At 35.2% G+C, this 24,394-nt stretch overlaps 2 long non-coding RNA genes across 3 annotated transcripts in view; one reads left to right on the plus strand and one right to left on the minus strand.

Moving 5' to 3' along the window:
- LOC124903296 (uncharacterized) overlaps positions 1-6,996 on the minus strand; it is a 41,385-nt gene extending 34,389 nt beyond the window's left edge. Inside the window, exon 1 of one of the 2 annotated variants that reach the window (XR_007064093.1) lies at positions 6,850-6,996. This is a non-coding gene — a long non-coding RNA (uncharacterized LOC124903296). The remainder of the gene's footprint in view (positions 1-6,849) is intronic. The other variant, XR_007064092.1, reaches the window with a different exon arrangement.
- Positions 6,997-7,349: 353 nt separating this feature from the next.
- Positions 7,350-24,394, plus strand: part of MIR4307HG (MIR4307 host gene) — a 41,611-nt gene continuing 24,566 nt past the window's right edge. Inside the window, exons 1-3 of the long non-coding RNA NR_110041.1 lie at positions 7,350-7,511; positions 7,614-7,759; positions 8,997-9,123. This is a non-coding gene — a long non-coding RNA (MIR4307 host gene). The remainder of the gene's footprint in view (positions 7,512-7,613; positions 7,760-8,996; positions 9,124-24,394) is intronic.

Below are 24,394 nucleotides of genomic sequence, written 5' to 3' on the forward strand. Positions count from 1 at the left end.
TCTCATATCAGAGATATTGGATTAACATCCAAAGAGTTTCCTCAGATCTCAGAACTCTATATCTGTGTTTGAGGACCAAAGAAGCACATTCCGTGATTACTCACATCTTCTGTAAATAAAGGTATAAAAATCACAACTCGATGAGAAATAAGTTGTGCAGGTGAAGCACATTAATCCAATTAAATGGAGAACTGCCTTTGAATTAATGCAATTTTCAAAGAAATCCCTGAACTTGAAAACAGATCATTCTATAAAATAAATTATAAGATGCTAATATTTCACGTTTAAAAAAAAGGGAGTGAGAGGCGTCTATAAGGATGAGTATCCTAAATATTAGGTGCTCTACTTGGAGATTTAACAGATTATTACTAGGGAAATAAAAGAAAACACAATTGGAAAAAGTTATAAAATGATATAAGGAGTCACCTCAATTTTACAGAAACATTTTATGCAAATATAAATATAAATTATATTGTATATATTTTCAATATATTCCAGTGAAAGAGATATTTAGATGTTGAATGAAAGATTATTAAATTCCCTCATGTGTTTTTATTTTACATGTTTTCAACAATGACTATCAACTACATAACAAATAATAAAATAATGATTTTGTATTAACATAAAATTTAAAATATTTTCATATACATACAATGACATTATCTAGAGATTTTTAGCTAATAGAGTATTTTCAGTGACAAACTTGAAGAGATAAATTAAACCTGATTATATTTGAATGACTTAAGTCAATTATTTTATATATATGTATAATAAAAGTGGCATTTATTAAGGGGAGATTTAGTTGTATATTTATTATACATTTAAATTAACAAAAAAGTGGAAATTGAGAGTGGTTAACCTGGCAAGTGAGAGAAATAATAGCCAAGGTGAGCCTTAAAATAAGTGCCATGATAGAAATGCATGTGTTCAACTTTATCTTAAACAAAAACCTCAAGGAATGAAACTTTTGGGAATAAGCATATCTGGTTTTTTTAAATTTTAATAATTTTCATCCATAGATCAATGATTGAGTGAGATATGATGCTAAAAATTTGCTCTGCTGTTGCAATTTTAATGTGAAGAATTAGAGAAGAGATAACAGATGTCTTTGCACTTTTGGCAGGAAAGAGCTTATTTCAAATTCTGGGCTGATTTAAGGCCTGTTTAAAGCTGATTTGTCACCTGGATGATGATTTTTTACTAAAAAGTAGAAAGCTCATCTTGGGGGAAAAGTTAATCTGATGTACTGGCTTAACTGAAAATCAGAATACGTTTGTATTTTCAAGTTATGTTGCAATAGAAACTAGGATTATATCTCAATCTTTGTAAAAGTTATTTCTTATTGAAAGAAAACTTTGTATGGTAAACATTTTTTCTTCCAAAATTTCCTCAGAAAGTTAAATAGAAAAAATCTTAGGAGCTAAATGTGCCAGAACCTATTTTGGTCCATGGAAATTGCATTTGTCACCCACTTTTCCCTTTCCAGCACCCACCCACCACAAGGCTGACTCAATAGGTGGAGCAGGTGTCACGAATTCCAGTGAGCTCATGAAGTGTTGAATGTGTTCCCGTTGCAAGTCACTTACTATGCTATTATTCCTCAATCCCTGTGGGAGCTCGTTCCTCTGTGTTTACTTACTTTAATGTATTTGACTTACAGAAGAATTAAAACAAAACTCGTCTTTACTTGGTTTATTTTGACTTTTTCTGATTACTAAGGTAAATACGTGGGAGGTTAAGAGAGATGTTGGCTCTTTCTGACCAAACTTCAGATACAGAAGGTCTCTTGCAATTTATGCTGTGTTACATTGGCTAGATAGGTACTTTGCACTTACTAAACTTAATAGTTTCTAAAATTGGAAACTGTTTTCTTCAAAATTGTATCGTATATGTTTCTCTTTTGTCCCAAATGTTTTAGAAAAAGATGAGGGGATTTTTTAAAATATATTTTCTTATATTTGTTTATAACAAGTTGTAGTGAATTCAGGGCTTGAAATCAGTTGATTTTTGTTCTACAAATGAATCTCTTCCTTCTTCTGTTAAACTACATTTATTAATTATTTTATCTTAGGTAGGCTAAACATTACTGTTAAATTTTATTGCAAGATCTAGAAAATGAAGCCAAATTACAAATGTCTGTATTGTCGGTAATGTATTTTTCTTAACCATTCCTAAACTTACTTTTAGCCTCTGTTTTATTAACCAAATTTTCTGCATTTATATTAATTGTGGAGACAGGCTGGTGTAGTGGATGAAATGTGAACTTTAGAGAAAGATTCCTTCAGTTTTAAGCTGAGCCCTTCAACTTTATAACACATTAGCAGAATATAACATTAAAAATTTAGGAAAAATTAAAAGGATCAGATTCTTCATCTGTAAATGGGGACAAGTATAAATAATGAATGGAAATATTTTCAGGGTTTTATGGGGCAGTATAATTTAAATGCCTAATATTATTTAGTTCATGATTGGTGTGAGAAACATCTCTGCTTCTGATCATCCTTTGTTAAAATTTCAAACCAGCTGTGAAATAAATGTTGTAATGCAGGCATCAAGGGAAGAAATCTAAATAATTTATAGACACAAAGAAATGAGTCTTTGGGTGATCATCTACAGTTGTAGTAGTTGAATAGATGCTGTGTTTCTCAGTCTTTTGCAAATGACTTTTGGAGAATTGTTAACCTCTCAAAAATATATTCAGTTTTAAAATGAGCACTTTATGGCATTTAAGAACATTAAATAATTATTTAAGAGAATACTTGAAAAATGTGGTAAAACAACAACATGTTATCCAGGTTACAGTTCATGGTGTTAACTCATATTGTTATACCTGATTTTAAGAGATTTCACAATTTTCTCAATATTTATCCAAAAGTATTCCTATGCGGGTAAAATGTTCTTTTAAAAACGATATACAGTGAGGTCCTTTAAAATTATAATTGCTCACAGACACCAGCTGAAGCAGAGACTGATATGTGTCTGAATTAGTTAGCTACTACTACAGTAATGATATTTAACGAACTGTGTCTCTCTCCCTCTATTCTGCATCTTACAGCAGCAAACTGATTCTCACCTACCAGGCCAGCAAGCCACTTGTAGTTTAGCTGATCTAGGATGGTCTACACTGAGTGGCTCTGTCTCAGAATGTGGGTTCACTGGATGTGGCTTCAAACTCATATCTGCACAAGTTTTGGTCTACTTCACACCTTTCATCCTTCCTGAGGCTTGTTGTTTTCAAGATTAAGGGAACAAATTGCAAGGGAAGGTGAAACTTGCTCAGGACATTTAAAACATTTGCTATTGTCAATTCTGCTAATTTTCCACTGACAAAGCAAATTTTATGGCCAAAGCCAATATCAATGAGATGGGGAAATAGATATTGCTCACTCTCCTGAGAAGTACTGCAAAGTCACATGGCAAAGGTATGGGTGCATGGAGAGAATGAAGAAATTAGAAGGATTTGATCTACTATGGTGTTCACCAAACTTTCCTTCCTGAGAAAATACTTAAATTATGTTTCTCTTGCCGATAGGGTGTCACATGGGAAGGGGTGATGCCAATGAAAGGTAGTTAGAAGTGACAAATGCCAATTCCATGCTTGGTTCGTAAAACCTCTCACACTATGCTTCTTGCTCTCTCCTTATTAATTTGCTGGCTGAGTGTGGAGGACTCTTGGACCTGGAATAATATGTCCAAGCTACACAGTCACAATGGAAGGAAACTGGACTCTAATTTTATACAGGAGAGCCTCTAAGTAGTCTCACATTGATGTGTGACATTAGAGCTAAATAAACTTTTGTTGCGTATTAATCTTCTCAGATCTTTGGCATTATTTGTTATAGTAGCTAGCCTGTGATACTAGACTCTTCAACTTCTTAACATCTATCCTAAATATTCAAGTGTCTAAAATAATTCCACCAAAGAATCAAATACGTGTTCTGGAGAAGAGATCATCCTCAACACTTCCATCAGGACTCAGATGAATGTAAGTAGGGCATACCTATCAAGGCACTTCATTTGGAATACTGAGGGGGAGATTGCACTTCTGAACTGAGAAGGCTGTTATTTAAAATGGTAGGATGGATTTCAGTGGATGTGTTTGAATAGTGAAATTTACTTTCAGATTGAGGTATTTGAGAGAAATTATTGGGGAAAAATTGAAAAGCTGTGGGCAAACTTAATTTTTATTGTTTAATTACTACTTCTAACAAAGCTAATAAATGCATATGGCAATAAATTCAAATTGTATAAAAGGATATATAATTAAAAACTAAATCTCCCTGTCTTCTCTCCAGCTATAACTAAGGTAATGGTTCCCTATGTAAATCCTCAAGCATTTTTTTCTGCATATATACTCTACATAGGAGCTGTTTTGTGCTGGTTCTTGATGCTGGTATGAGTACTGACTCCCACCCGTTTAAGAACTGGGTGCTAGGCCTACACCTTTTCTATCCACTGCTGTATAACTAATGCCAGATGGTACCTTGACAATATCTGAGGTGATGCTGTGTGACAGTACCTATTGTGATGATCAGAATTTATGCTTCAAAGATTTTATGACTTGCAGAAGATGCCAAATTTCTATCTAACCAAAAATATTATGTTCAGTCTAAATGCAGTGTTAAAATATTAGAGTTAAATTTATTTCAACTTGGGATTGCAATCTGGAATTAGGAGTTAATTTTTTTCGGTAGCAAAATGGTGCATGGTGTCAGGTGAAATTATGTAATTTCTTTCAGTAAAGGAACAAAGGTGTACAATCTGCATCTAAGCTATTCTGCTCACTTTTCTGTATACCTTGGATTAGAGCATGCTTTTTTCTTGAAGTGATGGGGTCTTTTGTGTACCTTTACCTCGGCCCTCAGTAATTGTAATTGTGTGGGGCCCTGAGAGTCCAGTTTCCTGAAGCTGAAAAAAAACACACTTTGTATGAGGAGGGATATTGAGAGGTCATTTGTACCAACGGTGACCAGATGGCTTTGAAATTTTGAAGAAGCTCGGTGTGGGGGCTGTTTGGAATCAAGGGCAGATTTGAAACCATATGGGATTGTTTTAGTCCAGAAAAGTTAAAATTTATAAAGAAGAATGGCTAAAAATAAATCCAGTCTTGGGCAATGGCTAGAGGACGAGCAATTCCTCGGAGTTGGGAATACTGGGTTCTTGGCTTCTTGCTATAAATATGTGAATCCCTCCTCTCTCCTCCCCATTCTTTGTCTCCTGTGACCCTCCATCACTTTGTTTCCTGTTTGCTTTTTTTCTCAATGGGGACTTTATAATTTTGTTGTTTACTGTCTGTGGTGCAGGGAATGTTACTGTCAGGTCTGTTGAAAGGCTGCCATGGAAAGGGTCAGCCTCGTCATTTGTTTTTTTATGGAACCTCCTGCTCTAAGCTAGCAAAGCCCTAAATCATACCCTTGTTCTGGGAGACAAAGTAATAGACGAAATGGTTATTTAAAACAGGGGAAATAAAACGTCACTCAAATATCCCTAACAGAATTGTTTATTTTACTCTCACCTTTAATCACAAGTAGAATTATTCTTTATTCACAAATACAGTGAATCTAAGCTTTCAGCTGAGCATTTAGTGGAACATCTACCCAGTAAGCCTTGCTTATGTTGCAGACAGCTACCCTGAGGAGTGATTTGAATTTAAATGTGATTCCCTTATTAGTTTCTGCTAACTGCAAATATCCCAGGCACTTAATTAAGTGGCTGAGTAATGTATGAATGCTCACTTCTGCTTGTCATGCAGAACAAAGTGATGTATTTATATTCCATGCACAATATGAAATTTAATGACACGGGCAACAGTAATTTAGAAAACCTTTGTTTTATTGTCCTTGTTTTTGCTTAAGCAATTTCTTCGCTTTGTTATAGTTTGGCCAGGACAGTGATATAAGACTTGGTCTAAATGTTAGCTTCTGGCAGGTGACATTTCCTAATAAACCATAGGTTCTTCTGTGCCATGTAATGACTGTAAACGTCGGTGGGTTTTTGTTAACTATGCTACTTTGGCTTTTATTCCTAACTCTAATTTTGATTTAATAGCAGAGAACAATTAGTTTACCTGGCTGGTTAGCCACTGAAACAAAAGAGAAAATGTAGATTCTGCTTGGATTTGAACAAATGCATTGCGTTGCAAAGTAAACAAATATAAAAACAACCAGTACTTCTTTTTTGAACACTAGATCATGGAGAGGAATAATATTGAGGCAAACTCTCCTGATAAGTATCAGGGGACGAGTTTCATGTTTGTTGTTTTTCTAATATTGATATTTATTTTTTTACTTCAGGAATGCAAAAATCCAAGATATTTTTGTTTGTTATTTAAGGTGAATGCCAAAGCTTTGGCACTAGTTTCCCTCTATCCCAGTCTCTCTGGATTTCCCTTAGGCTCACATAATACTTCAGATACCTCTAAATTAAGTGTGCATGTCTTGTCATTTTAAACTGGGATGTGCATATGTTTGGTCATTTGGACAGATGTTTGACTTGTCAGATGGTGCTATTGTCGTGCACAACAGAAGGAATTCATGTCCTTTCTGTTTCAGCTCCTTTGCTCCACGTGTGGGGTTAGGAAGCTTCTTTAATTAGAGTCTCAACTCTTTCTGTTCTGGAAATCCTAACCTCAATTAGTCTAGTCTCTTTATTTAGACTGTTTCATTTGTTTCCTAATGGATTTAGGTGGGTGATGAATTGGATCAAAGTTGCAACATATTACTTCCTGGTATAAAATGTATTTTATATGCTGAATTCTGTGCCACAAGAAAGCTGCAACTTTGATCTGAACCATAATTCCTGACTTCATGAGGAACTGTGTGCAAATTATGTACCCTTACTTTCACATACCTGCATAATCTCTTTCCTGTCAGCTTCAGCCACGCTCTGTCCAATCTCACTCCAACCAATGCAGAATGACGTCAAGCTGCTGGGAGAACATTGCTGCGCAGTTCCTGTCAGAGAAGCCCTACTGCTCAGTAAATTCTTGGCAGTGCTATTCCTTGGTGCCTTGATAACCATAAACTGCTGTTGTGTTTAAAACAATTATTGCATTCTGCAAAATTCTTAGTCGTATTGGACAATATTTCAGTCTTACTTTTCTGCTCCTCTCTTATCACACCCTCAATTCTAGGTGTGCTGACAAGGCACTGAGCAAGGGAATGGGAAAATACTGGAAATGTAGCAAGAAATGCAAGGAGCTGTTCTGATCTCCTAATTTCTGTGCACCTGCATTTGATAGGATTACTCTCTCTGGCTCTGAAATCAATCGTCTTCTGTCTCATCCCCTTCAGCCATTGTGACCTCACCATATGCCCCTGACTGGAGAGAAGCCCAGGTTGGCTGCCTACAATCAGAGTCCACATATGTTCGGGGGAGGGACCCCAGAAGGCGGCTGACAGTATTCCTTTAGCCAGAAATCCCTTCAGGGAAGAGAAAGGTGCTCCCCTTTGCCTGCTTTTATACTACAGACTGTTTCCAACTCCAGCTAGAAGTGACTATTGCCGATTATGGTAACTTACCTTTACCCTCCAGCTGTAGAGCTCAGCCAATGGATCTTATCTATCTTGGCAAAAAAAATCTTCCTTTATTTATCTTTTTTTCTTTGTTTTCAGCTAATCAGTGGCGACAAGCTCCCTTTGACTGCTCACTTCTCCAGTGAGGCTTCAAGCTTCTAGGCATCAAGATTAGTAAGGCTGTCTTCTGGGTGGGCCAGTTTGTTTCTCAGTGACACGAAAACATTGCCTGGGGTGTGCACTGGGTGAGGCTTGTCAGTCAAGATATGATTTTGCACTTCTGATGGATTTTCCAACTATTCACTACAAGTTAAAGATACTAGAAATATATACTTCCCTATATCTCTTCTCCTAACCACATTGAATTGTTTTTATTTGAACAGTTGCATGCAGCATGACAGCAGTACATTAGGGTTGGAAATACACTTAAATGTTCAGTCGATACATCCATCTGGTGCTTAAATTCTAGCCACAGTTCCTGACTTTCATCCAGCCTAGATTTGAATCCTTTCAGAAAGAGGAGACTCATGTTCTTCCAAAGCAAGTAATTCTGTCCAGCACACAAGCACGTGTACACATATTTTAACATACACATTCATACACACAGACTGAGCCCTTGCCACTAAATCACCTCTGTCCTTTTCTTGAGTCATGTAGTTGAAGTTTGGAGCATAGATGTAGGTAGGATAGGGCAATTATTGATTCTTGGTGAGGTCCAACACCATCTTCCATACCAAGCTATCGAGGTATTCATTCACCTGCCGGATTTGACATCTGCAAGTTTAATTAAGCATATATATATATATATATATATATATATATATATATATAGAGAGAGAGAGAGAGAGAGAGAGAGAGAGAGAGAGAGAGAGAGAGAGAGTATAGACTATTACTCAAGTGACATTATTGTAAGATGAACCTGGATTCCAAGCCCAACAATAGCATTACTAATTGTTAAGATTTGGGATTTGTTACTAAACCTCTCTGAGCATAAATTCCTTATCTGTAAGAAATAAGGATAATAGTATGTATTTCATAGAGTGGTTATCAGTAACACAGAGATAATACAGAAAAAATACTTTGCAAAATGCTGTAGCACATAGCTGAGAGTTAATAAATGCCATTATTATTGCCATTATTACTTCTTAACCTATATTCAAATTGATGGCCAAAATGTTTATTAGGGGTGACACAAGGCCAGACACTCTTAACATATATGGCTTGATAGTTTTCCTATTGGTGTGGATCAGTTTAATAACAACTCATCTGGGCATTTTTTCAAATAGTAATTGCACTGATATCCAGATATCCAGATATTTTTTTTTTCTCCATTTTGCTCACGTAGTTATTCTGAGAGTTTTCAGTAGGCAGTGAGGATTTATAAGTGAATACAGACTGTTATTGTTTGCTTCTTAGGTACCTAGATTATTAGGACTCATGTATTCTTTAATCTAAGTATTCCTTTTATTAATTTCCCTGCAGTATTTTCCAGAAAATATTTCAAGCAGAATATACTTATTTTCCAGTTTTGAAAACAACTAGATTGCCCATCTCCATTTCTCTCTATCATCTACTGTATTATTCTATGGACAACTGCCACCCTAATAAGGTATTTTGCAAGTCCTCTCTATATTCTCATAGGCATTTTAAAGCTTATCCTTCATGAATGTTGTTTCAGGATTCTGATAGTTGTTAAACTAATTTGGCGTTTTTAATTGATAAGAAGACAGATGCAACAATTATATCTCAAGATGCAGACTGTATCTCTTCAGAACCTGAGATTTAGATAAGACACTCAGTTAAATAAATGGTCAGAAATGGAAAATAATTTTATGCTAGCCCAGGACATACAAGTACAAGCACTGCTTGTCAAGTACCTACTTTAAACTATTGGCATATAAAACAAAGTATGGAAAAATGTATTGCATACTATATGCCATGTGTTACTTGAGTGAATTTTAGAAACCTTATTTTGTTTGCTTTTCAAAACAACCTCATGATGTAGAATGACATTATTGACATTTTATACACAAACAAACTGAAGTTCAGAGCAATTAAGCAACTTGCCCAAGACATTTATGTAAGTCAGTAGCAGAGTCTAGATTCAAACTATGGTATCAAATATTTCATTAGGTATTGCTGCCATGAAAAAAATGTGAAACTTATATAAATGAATCAAATACAACATACATATGAATTTGATATCTCATAAATTAGTATCTGCAGTTAATTTCATTTTTACTAAATCCTCTGGGGGAAGCACACTAAACATGTCAAAGATCTTTAGGTAGAAGCTACTTAGAATCAAATATATATACATATATATATATGCCATCAATTTAGGGACGTGGTTCATTTTTCCTGACCTTTTTGAGATAACTCTGGCTTAGGTAATTAAAATGTTGTTAGTAATGGTGGTGTATCTGATGGTAAATATTTTAGAAGAAAGTGATGCTTATATAGCAGAGTGTAGTAGTTTAAATACAATTTCTGTTTACTGAAACATTCCGCATCAAACATTATAAAAGTAAGATTGGTTAGTGTTGTGCTGAATCACAAAGTGCTTGACAGTGGTCTACCTAATTTTGATCTTCTCTGAAGAACTTTAGAGAACAGACTAAATTCAGAATTATGAATGCCATTGGACTAAGTACAGAAAGTATTTTATCTAAGAAGACTGCACCTTCACTAATCTAAACCTTCTGTCTATTGGAGAGAGAAAAATGGTAAAAAGGCATCCTATCTGCTAGGCCAAGTGTACTCTACACCCCTGAGATGTCTCTGCAGAAATGTCACTAATCACATGTTGGTAAAAAAACAAAAGCAATCTTGGCAACGTTGCTTTTCCCCCTTCTCATGATGCAACACTCTTCATTTGGAGTAGCCTATGGGGGTATAATATAAATGCCTGGTCTTATTTAACGTTTATATACATACATTTTGATACACTGTATTGAAATTGCTAATGCATATCCAGTGTTAGCAACTTGGCCTGACCCTGATGCATATTTATATTTGATAATCCAAAAGGAACCTCACATTGCTATAGAGAAACAAGAGGTTGCTTCTCAACATGTGGAAAGTGCTGAAGATTTTTAAAAACGTTTGATTGTTCTGCTTAGTACAGGTACCTCTGACGTTGTAAGCCCAGTTAAGTTGCAAGTTAAGAGCTCAGTAAGAGCTCAATATGAGCTCTTAACTTGGAAGACTCACAGATGCATAGAGGGAGAAAGCTTCATTTCTGTTTCTCATAGCTTTCTTCTTCTATTAAGAACAAGGGATGAGGCCAGTCAAGCTATACATTTTACTGAACATGATTTCTTCATAAAGATTTTGAAATTAGTTTAACTCCAGTTTAACAGAAATATATTGTAGAAGTGTCTTAGTCACTATGTCTGTCAAAACTCCAACTTTTGTGCTCCTTACCAAAGATCTGAGGTGAGGACCAATGTCATCCTCCAGATGAATTTGGAATTTGGAACTCTGACCCAGTAACATTATTACCTAATCTAATGGGTACAAATCTGGAATATTAGAAACACCTGTGAATCTTTCTTTTAAAAACTACTCAGATTTCTAATTCTGTGGATTTTATTCTGGTAATCTGTACTTTTAAGAAGCATATCAGACAATTCACATGAATAGTTACATTTTCAATTAATAGCCTGAATTTGGACAATTTTATCCCTATTCTCTAGCCAAGCATCAGGAAGGGATTTCTCTCTCTTTTCTCTCTGTCCCTAACTCTCTCCTTTTCCCCTCCATAAATACATTTTAAACACTTAGTGTACACCAGGTACAAGAATGCAAAACTAATAAGATCCTCTTCCTACCCTCAAAAAGATTATAGCCTTTTAAAAACTATGCATTATCAACTTCAGGAAGAATTTTCATTCTGTCATCCTGAATAAAACTTCCTTAGTCTGTATGAAGAGTGACAAATTAGACATATAGCTTTTGTGTCAATCAAGTCATTCTGCATCCTAGTTTCTCTGTTACCAAACACAAAAGAAAACAAAACAAAAACAGCTCTACTGAACCTTTTTATGTGAACTATTCCTTAGCCCTGTAATCATCTTTTTGGTTTTCTTCATGACCTGTTCCATATGCTACAGATGATTACATGGCTGATAATTAGATCCAATATGCATATTTATAATCATATTTTAAGCATGTTAATTGTCATTACACAGCTAAACAATGAGAGCAGTGTTAGTGTATTGACTTCAGCTCAGTTGTTTCATATCTGCTTTCAACTTTTTTTCCCAAAATATTTCTAAGTTGTTCATTGTGTAATCAAAATGTCTTTGTAGGCTCATGTCTATTCCTCCACACAGTAACTGCTATCATTACTTAAAGGTCCACTACCTGTCAGGTACTCAATTAGGGCATCTCACAAATGTGTGGAGGAAAGAATTGAGGAGGTGATGCATGTACATCATAGATGGAAGTGTCTCAAACATGCAATACAGATTATGGATTAATACTACAAATTAATAGCTATAATATTTAAGAACACTGTATTTTATACTTACAATAAAAGACTATACATTAGTTACAGTAACGATATTATAGCAGAGCAAGTTGATTGTCAGAGAATGTTATTTGTCTGTTGACTCATGGCTAATAATTGTTGGTCTTGTACTGGAACCCAGATCTTAGCAATTCCATAGTCTGTGTTGCAAAGTGATATAATATATCAGCTTGTCATAGGACTAATAATTATGACATATCTGCTTTTAGAGTCCTCAAATTTACACCAGCTTTTTTGCAGTGGCACAATCTCAGCTCACTGCAACCTTCACCTGCTGGGTTCAAGCGATTCTTGTGCCTCAGCATCCTGAGTAACTGGGATTACAGGAACATGCCACTGTGGCCAGCTAATTTTTTTATTTTTAGTAGAGGTGGGGTTTCACCATGTTGGCCAGATGGGTCTTGAACTCCTGACCTCAAGTGATCTGTCCACCTCAGACTCCCAAAGTGCTGGGATTACAGGCGTGAGCCACCACTCCTGGCCTATAACAGCCTTTGAATATCTAGAATGTTTCATAAATCTTTGCATTTTATTAAAAAAAGACAACTTAGGGTCTAACCACACATACACCTACCCTAACACATATAGTATTGATTTCATAAAGAAATAGGGTAAGTTGTATAAAGATGAGAGATGCATTTCCATCTTTGATGCTGTTTATCACTCACTTATCCATTTATTTAAAAATATGTCTCAAATTCTTACAATGCAGAACAAACTACTCTACAATTAAGTTGATAAGGTTACTTTTGCATAGGAAATAGGTGAACTCAAACTATTTTTACTTAACTCTCACTGTACTATTTAATCATACTGAAAGCATTCAGCACATACTTGACTTCCAGGTGTTGCATACATAAAATATACATTTCTTCAGATCCCTGCCCTCTTCTCAATGACCTTGTTAACTTTTCATAGTGAGTACATGCCTACATTTATTTTATTTAATTTGAAATGGCAAAGAATGGCCAAAGAATATTTTTTCCCAATAACTTTTAAAAAGGATTGCAGAGCTTTCTTCTTTTGTTAATTTACGAGCAGACTTGCCTACAAAAAGAAGGGGAAGTTAAATGTTTGCTGATATCTTTTCCAGCCCTGGTATAGTATTGCTGGGCCTATTAGAGATACCTTTCTATAAAGTTCAACACATAATCACACATAGAGTTCTGCCTGAATATAGAGATATTAAACTTACATGATCTATCTACTTGTCCTCAGGGTCAAAAACAGTCTCTCTCTCTCTCTCTCTCTCTCTCTTCACATTCTTCTCCAATCCCCTCATTGTGTAAAATGACTTGCAACATAGTTCTTCAAAGATTGATGGAGTTCACATTGTATATATTTTACAGGAATATTTTATGCATAGCTAAATGTTTGTTCTTAACCAATCAGGTACACTACAATAATTTCTCTACTTCCTAAGTCTTTCTCAAAAAAAAGTCTAGGACTGGTATCCTGGAAATCATTTATTTTTAACATTGTTCAGTTTGCTACTCTGTCTTATCAAGGTGTGACTGAGTAGAATAGAAATGCTTGGTATCTCATGTGACTACTCTTGTGGCTGATGTAGAGCGCCAGGTATGATATAATCCATAGTTTTGTCCTTGCTGCTCCACTATCATGTACATTTCAGATGTGATATCTTTGATATGCCTTTAGAAATTAAATTGTGGCTCTGTAATATTTCTTTTGTTTCATAAGAACTTAACAATTTCTTAACATTGGCTCATAACAAAATTGACAATTTCCTTGTTCTGTCTTTCTCTCCCTCTCACTCTTTCCTTCCCTACCTTCTAATCCTGAGTTACATACTTTATTTTGACAAAGACTTCATCAGTGAAAATATGCTTTGACATCAAAATATTAAATATGGCCAGGTGTAGTGGTTCACGCCTGTAATCCCAGCACTTTGGAAGGCCGAGGCAGGTGGATCACAAGGTCAGGAGTTTGAGACCAGCCTGGCCAACATGGTGAAGCCCTGTAGCTACTAAAGAGACGAAAAATTAGCCGCATATGGTGGCATGCACCTGTAATCCCAGCTACTCAGGAGGCTGAGGCAGGAGAATCGTTTGAACCTGGGAGGTGAAGGTTGCAGTGAGCCAAGATTGCACCATTGCACTCCAGCCTGGGTGACAGGGTGAGGCTCCGTCTCAAAATATATATATATTTAAAAGATAAAATTAGAAGGACATTATTCATAATTTTCAGCTGCCCTCCCCAAATGAATGGAATACATTTATGGCTTTTACCTGAAACCAAACCAAACAATACAAAACAACTTCATGTCCAAAGACTGTTCCATATTGATTCAAGTTTTCAAAAACATATGTGAAAGTTATGCTTTTAAATTTTTATTTTTAAGAATACAATTTTTTCACTTTTTTATCTCAAAATAACCATGCCTTTGAAATGTAAGTTTTTTTTACCCTACGTTCCTTATATCGTAGAGAAATAAATATAAACTTTAAGACTCCTTCTTAAACAAATGGATTATTTCTCTTTACAATAATGTGTTTGTTGTTTCTGTTTAATTCATAGCTCAAAGGAAACCATGAGAGACTGTCTAACTAGACTTTTTGCTTGATTTCCTGGACCCAAGAGCAGGAGTGAGGAGCTTTCTCCTGGTAATTTTGTTATAGAGCAATCAATGAGCTTGCTTCCTCATGCACATGGAGGCCAACACCATGACAAAGGCTTTTGAGAAAAGAAAAGCTTTATGGAGACCTGACTGGCAAGGAAACAGAAGAAAATTCTCATTTCTGTCTCTCTGAGCTGGGGTCTGGACCAGATTTTATATGCATAGGGTAATGAGGCATGATCTGATTGGATAATCGGGCAAGATCTAGAACCCAATCACATAAAGCCCCGGTGTCACCTGAAAGCTTTAGGATCCAGAATCCAGTGGTGACACCAGAGCTTTATCTGATTGGATTCTGGATCCTGCCATACAATGTTCACTTTTCTTTTTTCTTTCTTTCTTTCTTTTTTTTTTTGGGAGACGGAGTCTTGCCCTGTCGCCCAGGCTGGAGTGCAGTGGTGCGATCTCGACTCACTGCAACCTCCGCCTCCCAGGTTCAAGCGATTCTCCTGCCCCAGCCTCCGAAGTAGCTGGGATTACAGGCGCGAGCCACTATGCCCAGCTAATTTTGTATTTTTAGTAGAGACGGGGTTTCACTACGTTGGTCAGGCTGGTCTCGAATTCTTGACCTGTGATCCTCCCGCCTTGGCCTCCCGAAGTGCTGGGATTACAGGCGTGAGCCACCGCGCCCGGCTGGTACAGTGTTCACTTTTAAAATCAGTCCCTGCACCTCAGTCTCAGCACCTGGGTTCCTCCACTGGTTGCATGCTTTGTTCATCTGGCTTTAGTAGTAAATAAAACAATGATCAGGTTATGTGACCTTTTACCTGGGAGTCCATGGCAACCGAAGAAGGACTCACTTTGTTACTTAAATGTTAAGCCAGATTGGTTTGGTGCAGTTACAGTTTCCTACTGGATATTTGAGTTCTCATGAAGAAATATTCTATATTAATTTTCTTTTGGCTTAGAAAAGTTTCGTATAACTTTTCCCAAGCCTTCCAGACAAAGCAGCCGTTTTCTCATACTGTTTTCAATGATCATTTTCCATAATTAAATTCATGTTTTTCTTCTCCTGTGGAGAGATTTTATAAAATAAGAGGCAGCCTCTATAAATATTTATCACTTTTATTTCATGTTAGCAAACACGAACTTATGCATTTAAATACACTTCACTCCCTATATTTTACCTCTTATATTATCTGTACTTGTGCTTTTTCACACACTATTTTACATATTCAATAGGTGTTTTTGGTTTTATTTTTCCAAAATTGAATCTTAATTTGCTAATATTCTGCATTCTGCCTATCCAGGTTCGTGGTCACCTACTCTCTGGCAGTAAATATTTCTAAATTCTTAGAATATTTCTCTTTCAAACTCACTCAGTGAGTTTGAAATTTTGCAGCTCTATCCCTCTCACCTGGCTATGTCCTCTTATCCTCCAAGAGCACTTTCAAGGCTATCCCTCTGAGAAGTATCTCTTCCCATTCTAATTCTCTTAAGTCTCTCTACTCCTTGAATCCCTTTTGCACTTAAGACTCTGAAGCACAGAATTTAATTCTTTTGTATCTTTGGTTTAACTTCAAGTAGATGGCATAATTCTGAAGAACCAACTAAATCTCTCAATGTGCTTTTGTGATCAGAGTAGCAAGTGCAATGTAATGTAAACATACTAATATTGATTGGGGTGTTACTACTTAAAAAATATTCAGAATATCATAGCATATTATATTGTCAAATATATGAAAATTTTTGTTATTTTACTTTCCAAAGATTATTTAGAATATAAGTTTTTTGAGTTCTTAGAGAAGGAATAATTGAGCCATAGAAAAATAAAATGATTTGAGCAAGAACTCATTGCAGATCATCGTATTTGGGATTGTACATTGCAATTTCTTAGTTGCAAGCGTTTTAAAATAAAAACAATCTCTCCCCTTTTCTTAGATTAAGCATACATTACTCTCTAACACAAAACAAAAAGGAAAAACAGAAGAATGACAAGACAATAAAACACCAACATGCTCAGTTATTCAATACTTGCTATGACCCAAATATTTCTGTTCCCCCAAAGTTCATATGTTGAAAACTAATATCCAATGCAATAGTATTAAAAGGTGAGGCTTTTGAGAGGTCATTAGGGCTCAGCACTCATGAATGGGATTAGTGCCCTTATAAAAGAAGCCTGAGGAGGTTTGTTTACCTCTTTTACCATGTGTAGACATAGCTAGAAGGTGCCGTCTATGAGAAACTGTCCCTCTAGACACCAAATATGCTGGTGCCTTGAGCTGTGAGCAACAAAATTTTGTTGCTTATAAATTACCCAGCCTAAGGTATTTCGTTATGGCAGCAGGGACAGGCTAAGATAATACTCCTATTTCACTGGAAGGAAAGAATATTTCTTAACCACACAGTGCATTGATCATTAAAATTCCTTTATCTAATATTAGTCATATTTTATACTACATATCTATTGTGAAATTATATATTGAAATATATCAGTACTAATATATCTAAATTACCTTCTATTTTTAAAAATACTTGTCACCTAGTCATAAATAAAACAATTATTCTTTTTAAAAATAAAATTAATTATATACCAACTATAAGTTTAAGTATATTATATTATAATAAGTCTTGAGCATCTTCTTGACTTGGATTCAGCACAAAAACACAGTTTGAATTGCATCAGTTGGAGCTGGGACATAGTTTTAAAAAAATTAGCATCATCTATGGCAGGTAATATTTCATGGAAAAAGTCCTAAATTAGATAACCTTTGTTAACTTCACCTGGACCCTCACTTTGCGGGAGGAATAGGAAATTTGATACAGATAGGTACAGAAGGAAGACCATGTGAAGACACAGGGAGAAGATGGCTGTTACAAGCCAAGGAGTGAGGTGTCAGAAGAAATCTACCCTGCTGACATCTTGATTTCAAACTTGTATCCCCCAAAATAAATTTCACTTGTTAAGGCCATCAGGTTTGTGGTTCTTTGTGATGAAAACCCTAGTAAAGTAATACACAAGATATATATATATATATATAATGATTAAGTTTTAACTTATTTTCTATGTATATTTAAAGTGATAAGCAATAGAGAATTTGATAGGTTATATATACAGAAGGCAATATAGAGTTGGGTTTTGCTTTTCTATCTAGTCTGACAATCTCTGCTGTTTATTGGATCTTTAGCCCATTTATATTTAATGTGAATTTTTATACGGTTAACCTTAAGATCATGATCTTACTATTTTTATAATTGTCCCATTTTTTCTTTCTCTTTTCTCTTTTGAACTGAGAATTTTTTATGATTTAATTTAATCTTTTTTGTTGGCTTATTACACATGACTTGTTATTTTAGCGGTTGCTTTACAGTTTATAGTACATACTATTACTATATCACTATCTAGCTTCAACTGATATTATATCACTTCACATAAAATATAAGACCTTTACAAGAGTAAACTTCCATTTCTTACCTCCTGGCCTTTATGGCACTACTGTCATATATTTTGCTTTTACATGTTATATGAGATTCACATCACACTGTTATTTTTTAAAGTTACATTTTAAAGAGGTATAGATAATAATACAATTCTTTTATAATTACCCATGCAGTTACCATTTTCAGTGCTTTTTATTCCTTTGGGTAGATTCATATTTTTATTTGCTATCATTTCCCTTCAGCCTGAAAGATTTCTTTAGTGTGCGGGCTTGTTTCGGGTGAATTCTTTTACCTTTCATATGCCTGAAATATTATTTTTTCACCTTCATTTTTTGAAATACAGTTTTTATTGAGTATATAATTCTTTCAATATTTTGAGATGTTGCTCTTTTTGCTGGCATTGTTTTAGCAAGAAAGACATTGCCATCTCTTTTTTCCTCTGTAAGTTTCTTTGTCTGCATTTAAGATTTTTCTCTTCTTTTTATTATGGTAGAATATATGCAATATAAAAATAACCATTTTAATCATCTTAAGTGTACAGATCTGTGGTATTAAATACATTCACACTTGTTGTATAACCATAGACACAACCTATCTCTAGAACTTTTTCATTTTCCTCCACTTAAATTCTGTTACTATCAAACACTAACTTCCCATTCCACCCTACATTTATTTATTCCCTGGTAACCACTGTTCTACTTTCAGTAATGACTACTCTAGAAATCTCATTATCTCATTTAAGTGGAATCATACAATATTTGTCCTTTAGTTGTTTAAGTGAATTTTATTTCACTTGGTGTAATGTCTTCCAGGTTCATTCCTGTTTAGCATGTGTCAAAATTTATTTCCTTTTCACAACTGAATTATATTCCTGTGTATGTATGTATCATATTTTCTTTGTTCATTCATTCTTCAGTGGGTACTTGTGTTGCTTCCACATTGTAGCTATTGAGAGTAATGCTGCTATGAATGTGCATCCTTGCTTTCACTTCTTTTGTCTATAAACTCAGGAGTAGAATGGCTGGATTATATAGTAATTCTGTATTTAAGTTTTTGGTGAATCATCATACTATTTTCTGAAGGAGGAGCACCATTTTACTTTCTAACCAGCAATGCTCAAAAGTTTCAGTTTCTCCGCATCCTCACAAACATTTGTGTTTTTTTGCCGTTTATTTATTTTTATAATAGCCATCCTAATGGGTGTGAAGTATTATTTCATTGTGGTTTTGATTTGCATTTCTCTAATGACTAATGATATTGAGCATCTTTTTATGTGTTTGTTGGCCATTTGCACATCTTCTTTGGAGAAAGATTTATTCAAATTCTTAGCCTATTTTTAAAATCAGTTTGTTTGCTTTTGTTGTTGAGTGGCAGGAGTTCCTTATATATTATGGATATCAATTCCTTATCAGACATAAGATTTAAAAATGTTTCTTTTCATTTCGTTAATTGCCTTATCACTCTGTTGGTATTCTTTGATACACAAAACTTTTGAATTTTCATAATGTCCAGCTTACCTCTTTTTTCTTTTGTTGTTTGTGCTTTTGGTGCCATACATATTCAATCAATCATTGCCAAATCCAATGTCATGAAGTTCTTTTGTTATTTTTTTTCTAAAAGGTTTGTAGTTTTAGCTCTTACATTTATATCTTTGATCTATTTTGAGTCAATTTTTGTATATAAGGGTCCAACTTCATTTTTTTTTAATACATGGATCTCCAATTTTCCCAACACCGTTTTTAAAATTTATTTATTTATTTTGAGACAGAGTTTCACTCTTGTTGCCCAGGCTGGAATGCAATGGCGTGATCTCAGCTTACTGCAGCCTCTGCCTCCCAGATTCAAACAATTCTCCTGCCTCAGCCTCCCGAGTAGCTGGGATTACAGGCACCTGCCACCACGCTTGGCTAATTTTTTTGTATTTTTAGGAGAGACAGGGTTTTGCCATGTTGGCCAGGCTGGTCTCAAACTCCTGGCCTCAGGTGATCTGCCTGCCTGGGCCTCCCAAAGTGCTGAGATTATAGGTGTGAGCCACTGTGCTCGCCCCGACACCATTTGTTGAAAAGATTGTCCTTTTCCCATTGCATGGTCTTAGCATCCTTGTTGAAAATCATTTGGCCATACCTGTGAGGGTTTATTTCTGGCCTTTTAATTCTATTCCAATGGTCTGTATGTCAGTACCATAGTCTTTTGATTACTGTATATTTTTATTTTTTTTTTCTTATTAATTTTCACTACTGTATACTTTTAGTAAGCTTTAAAAAATCAGGCAATGTAAGGCATACAATTTTGTTATTTTGGTTTTTTTTTTTTGCAATTTTAGGTACCTTATATACCATATTAATTTTAGGAAGAATTTTTCTGTTTCTGTTAAATATGTCACTGGGACTTTTATAGGGATTTCACTGAATCAGTAGATTGCTTTGGGTATATTGACATCTTAACGATAGTAAGTCTTCCAGTAAATGAACATTTGTTTCCATTTATTTGTATCTTTAATTTCTTTCAACATTGTTTTGTAGTTTTCAGTATATAAATCTTTCACTTTCTTCTTCAAGTTTACTTCTAAGTATTTTATTCTTTCAGATGCTATTGTAAATAGAATATTCTCTAAGTTTTCTCTGTTAGATTGTTCATTGTGATTGTGTAGAAATGTAACTGATTTTACATATTAATTTTATATCCCGAAACTTTGCTAAATTTATTTGTTCTACTAGTTGTGTGTGTGTGTGTGTGTGTAGTCTTTAGGGTGTTTTACATTCAAGATCATGTCACCTGCAAACAGAAAATTTTACTTCTTCCCCTTTTTTCAATTTGGTGGCATTTTATTTCTTTTTTTGTCTAATTTTTTCTCTGATAATTTTGATACTATTTTAAGTAGAAATGTCAATAGTAAGCATCCTCGTCTTGTTCTTGATCTTAGAAGAAAAGCTTTAAGTCTTTCAGCATGGAGCATAATGTTGTCTGTGGTTTTATATACATATACATATGTATTAATACATAGATGTAAATGTATGTGCTTTTGTTATGTCTTGGTAGTTTCTTTTCCTCCATACTGAATTTTTTAATAATGAAAAGCTGTTGAATTATGTCAAATGGTTTTTAGATATCAATTGAGATGATCATATATGTTTTCCTTCATTCCATTACTGTGGTAGATCATAATAATTGATTTTCACATGTGGAACCGTCCTTGCATTTCAGGAAAAACTTCCACTTGGTGGATAATCCTTTTAATATATTGTTGAATTCGATTTGGTAGTGTATTATTCTAGTTGAGGCTGCTCTAACAAAATACTTTAGACTGGGCAATTTATAAATAACAGCAATTTATTGCTCACAGTCCCAGAGGCTGGAAGGTCCAAGAACTGTTGCACTTTTGAGTTGTTCCAGCATCACCTCAAAAGTCTAAAGTCCAGAGTCTCATCTAAATATTAAACAAATCAGATAAGAGTGTGAATCAAGGATATTTCATTCTGAGGCAAATCCCCCTCCAGCTGTGAGCCTACGAAATCAGACAAGTTATGTATTTTCAAAATGTTATGGTGGGATAGCCATAGGACAGATATTCCCCATTCCATAAGGGAGAAATAGAAAGGAAGAAAGGGTAATAAGTTCCAACCAAATCTAAAAATCCATCAGGGTAAACAACATTAAAACTTAAGAATTGAGAACAATTTTTTGACTCCATGTTTTATTTTCTGGACACACTGGGGAGAGTATTGGGTTCCCAAGGCTCAGATCAACACTGCCTCCATGGGTTTGCTGGCCACAGACCATATAACAACTCTCAAGGGTTGGAGTCAAGTACCTGTGGATCTCCCAGAATGGAGTTGCACACTGATGGCTTTATAGTTCTGGGCTCTCAGGGCAGCCCCACCTCCATGTCTCCATTAGATACATGGCAGCCTTGCTCTCGTGATTCCACTAGGCACTGCCCTGATGGGAGCTTTCTGCGGTGGTTCCACCCCTGTGGCCATTCTATGCCTAGGCTGTGAGGTACTCTGAGGCATTCTTTGATATCTAGGTAGAGGTAGCCATGTCCCCATAGCTCATGTACTCAACACACCTGTGAGGATGGCACTGCATGGATACCACCAAGGTTTACAGCTTGTGCTTTCCAGACGGTGGCCCAAGCTGCAATCTGGACTCATTGAGCAATGGCTGAAGCAGCCAAGGAGTGATGCACCAGAAGGTGGGGAGTGAAGCCTTGAAATAGTTCTGTCTCCAAGGCCCTGGCTTTCTGGGTTTGTGATGGGTGGAGCAACTTGGAAGATCTCTGAAATGCCTTTGAGTTCATTATTCCACTGACTTGATGAATAGCATCTGGTTTCCTTCTATCCATACTAATCTCCATTAACTGTTTCCTTGGCTGCATCCTTGGTATTCTTTTTCAAACATGCCTTTCATTCTTTATAATAGGGGCAGCCTGATGATTTTCCAAATCTTTAAGTTCTGGTTTTCTGTCAATTATAAATTTTATATTTATTTTGTTTCTTCTCCCAGATTACCATATGCAGTCAACAGAAGCCATGCTGTACCCAGAATAATTTGCTTAGATATTTTTTCTGCCAAATATTCTATTTTATCACTCAGAGTTTCTGTCTTCCACAAAGCACTAGGACGTCAGCATAATTCAGCCAAATTCCTTGCAACTTTACAACAAAGATTACCTTTCCTCTAGTTTTCAATAACATATTCCTCATTTACATCAGGAATTTCATCAAAATGGTCTTTACCATCCATATTTCTACCAACACACTGTTCAAGATCTTTTTGGCAATCTCTAAGAAGATTGAGACTTTTTCTATGACTGTCTTCTTCCGAGTCTTCATCAGATTGTCCTTCATGCTCCAGTCACAGAAATGTAAGCATTTTTTCTAGAATAAACTTCCAAATTCTCCAGCCTCTCCCCATTACTCAATCCAAAGCTGCTTTCACATTTTTAGGCATTTGTTCCAACAGAACCTCACTTCTCAGTACCAGTGTCTTAGTTTATTCAGTTGCTGCAAAAAAAAAAAAAAAAGAAAAGAAAAAAAAAGTACCTTAGGGTAATTTATAAACAGCAGAAATTTATTACTCACAGTTCTGGAAGTAGGGAAGTCCAAGATCAAGACACCAGCAGATTTGGTGTCTGGTGAGGGCTTGTTTCCCAAAGAACGTGCCTTCTTACTGGGTCCTCATATGGTGAAAGGGCAAAGGGGCAAACAAACTTCCTCAGACTTGGGGCACTAATGCCAATCACAAGGTTTCTCACCTCATGATCTTGTCACCTACCAAAGGCCCCACCGTTTTGTACCAAAATATTATGAATTAGATTTCAAAATACGAATTTTGGAGGGGCAAAATCAGATCCTAACAAGTAGCATTTTATTGAGATTTTTTGCATCAATATTCATAAGCCATATTAGTCCATAGTTTTCTTTTTTTATAGTGTCTGTCTGGCTTTCACATCATAGGGTAATGTTGGCCTTATAGAATGAGTTAAAATGTTCCTCTTCTTCAGGGTTTTTGGAAGAGTTTGAGAAAGATTTGTGTTAATTTTTTAAATGTTTGATAGAATTCACCATTGATACCACCTAGTCCTGGATATGTTTTTTTTTTTTTTCTTTTTTCTCTTTGGATGTTTTGTATTACTGATCCAACACCCTTACTATTTTGTTCTGTTCAGATTTTCTATGTCTTCATGATTCAGTCTTGATAGTATATTTCTAGAAATCTGTCATATGATCTGCATTACCCAGTTTGTTGGCATGTGGTTGTTCATAGTGCTTCCTTATAATCCTTTTCATTTCTGTAAAATTCATAGTAATGTCCCCTTTCATTTGTGATTCTAGTTATTATATTTTCTCTTTATTTCTGAGTCAATCTAGCTAAAAGTTTGTCAATTTTTTTTTATTTTTTCAAGACTAATTTATAATTTCATTGATTTTCTCTATTTTTTCTATTCTTTAGTTTATTTATACCTGCTCTAATTTTTACTATTTCCATCTTGAATGCTTGATTTTAGTATTCTATTCTGTCTTCCATATCTCAATTTAACTTTTAGATTATATATAATGTAGTTATAAAAACTGTTTTGGTATTCTTACCTTCTAATTCTAACATTTGTTTCTGTTTGGGTCTGTTTTGATTGGTTGGTTTATCTCTTCATGATGTCTTCCTATCATTTGGCATGCCTGGTAATTGTTGACTGGATGCCTGCTATTGTAATTTTTACTTTTAAAATAACAGATCTTCTTTTCTTCTCAGTACTCTTGAGCTTTGTTCTGTATTGCAGCTAAGTTGCTTGTAAATAATTTTCCCTTTTTTGTCTTCCTTTTAAGA

The sequence above is a fragment of the Homo sapiens genome, chromosome 14, assembly GCF_000001405.40.
Source record: "Homo sapiens chromosome 14, GRCh38.p14 Primary Assembly".
In the NCBI taxonomy this organism is placed as follows: Eukaryota; Metazoa; Chordata; class Mammalia; order Primates; family Hominidae; genus Homo; species Homo sapiens.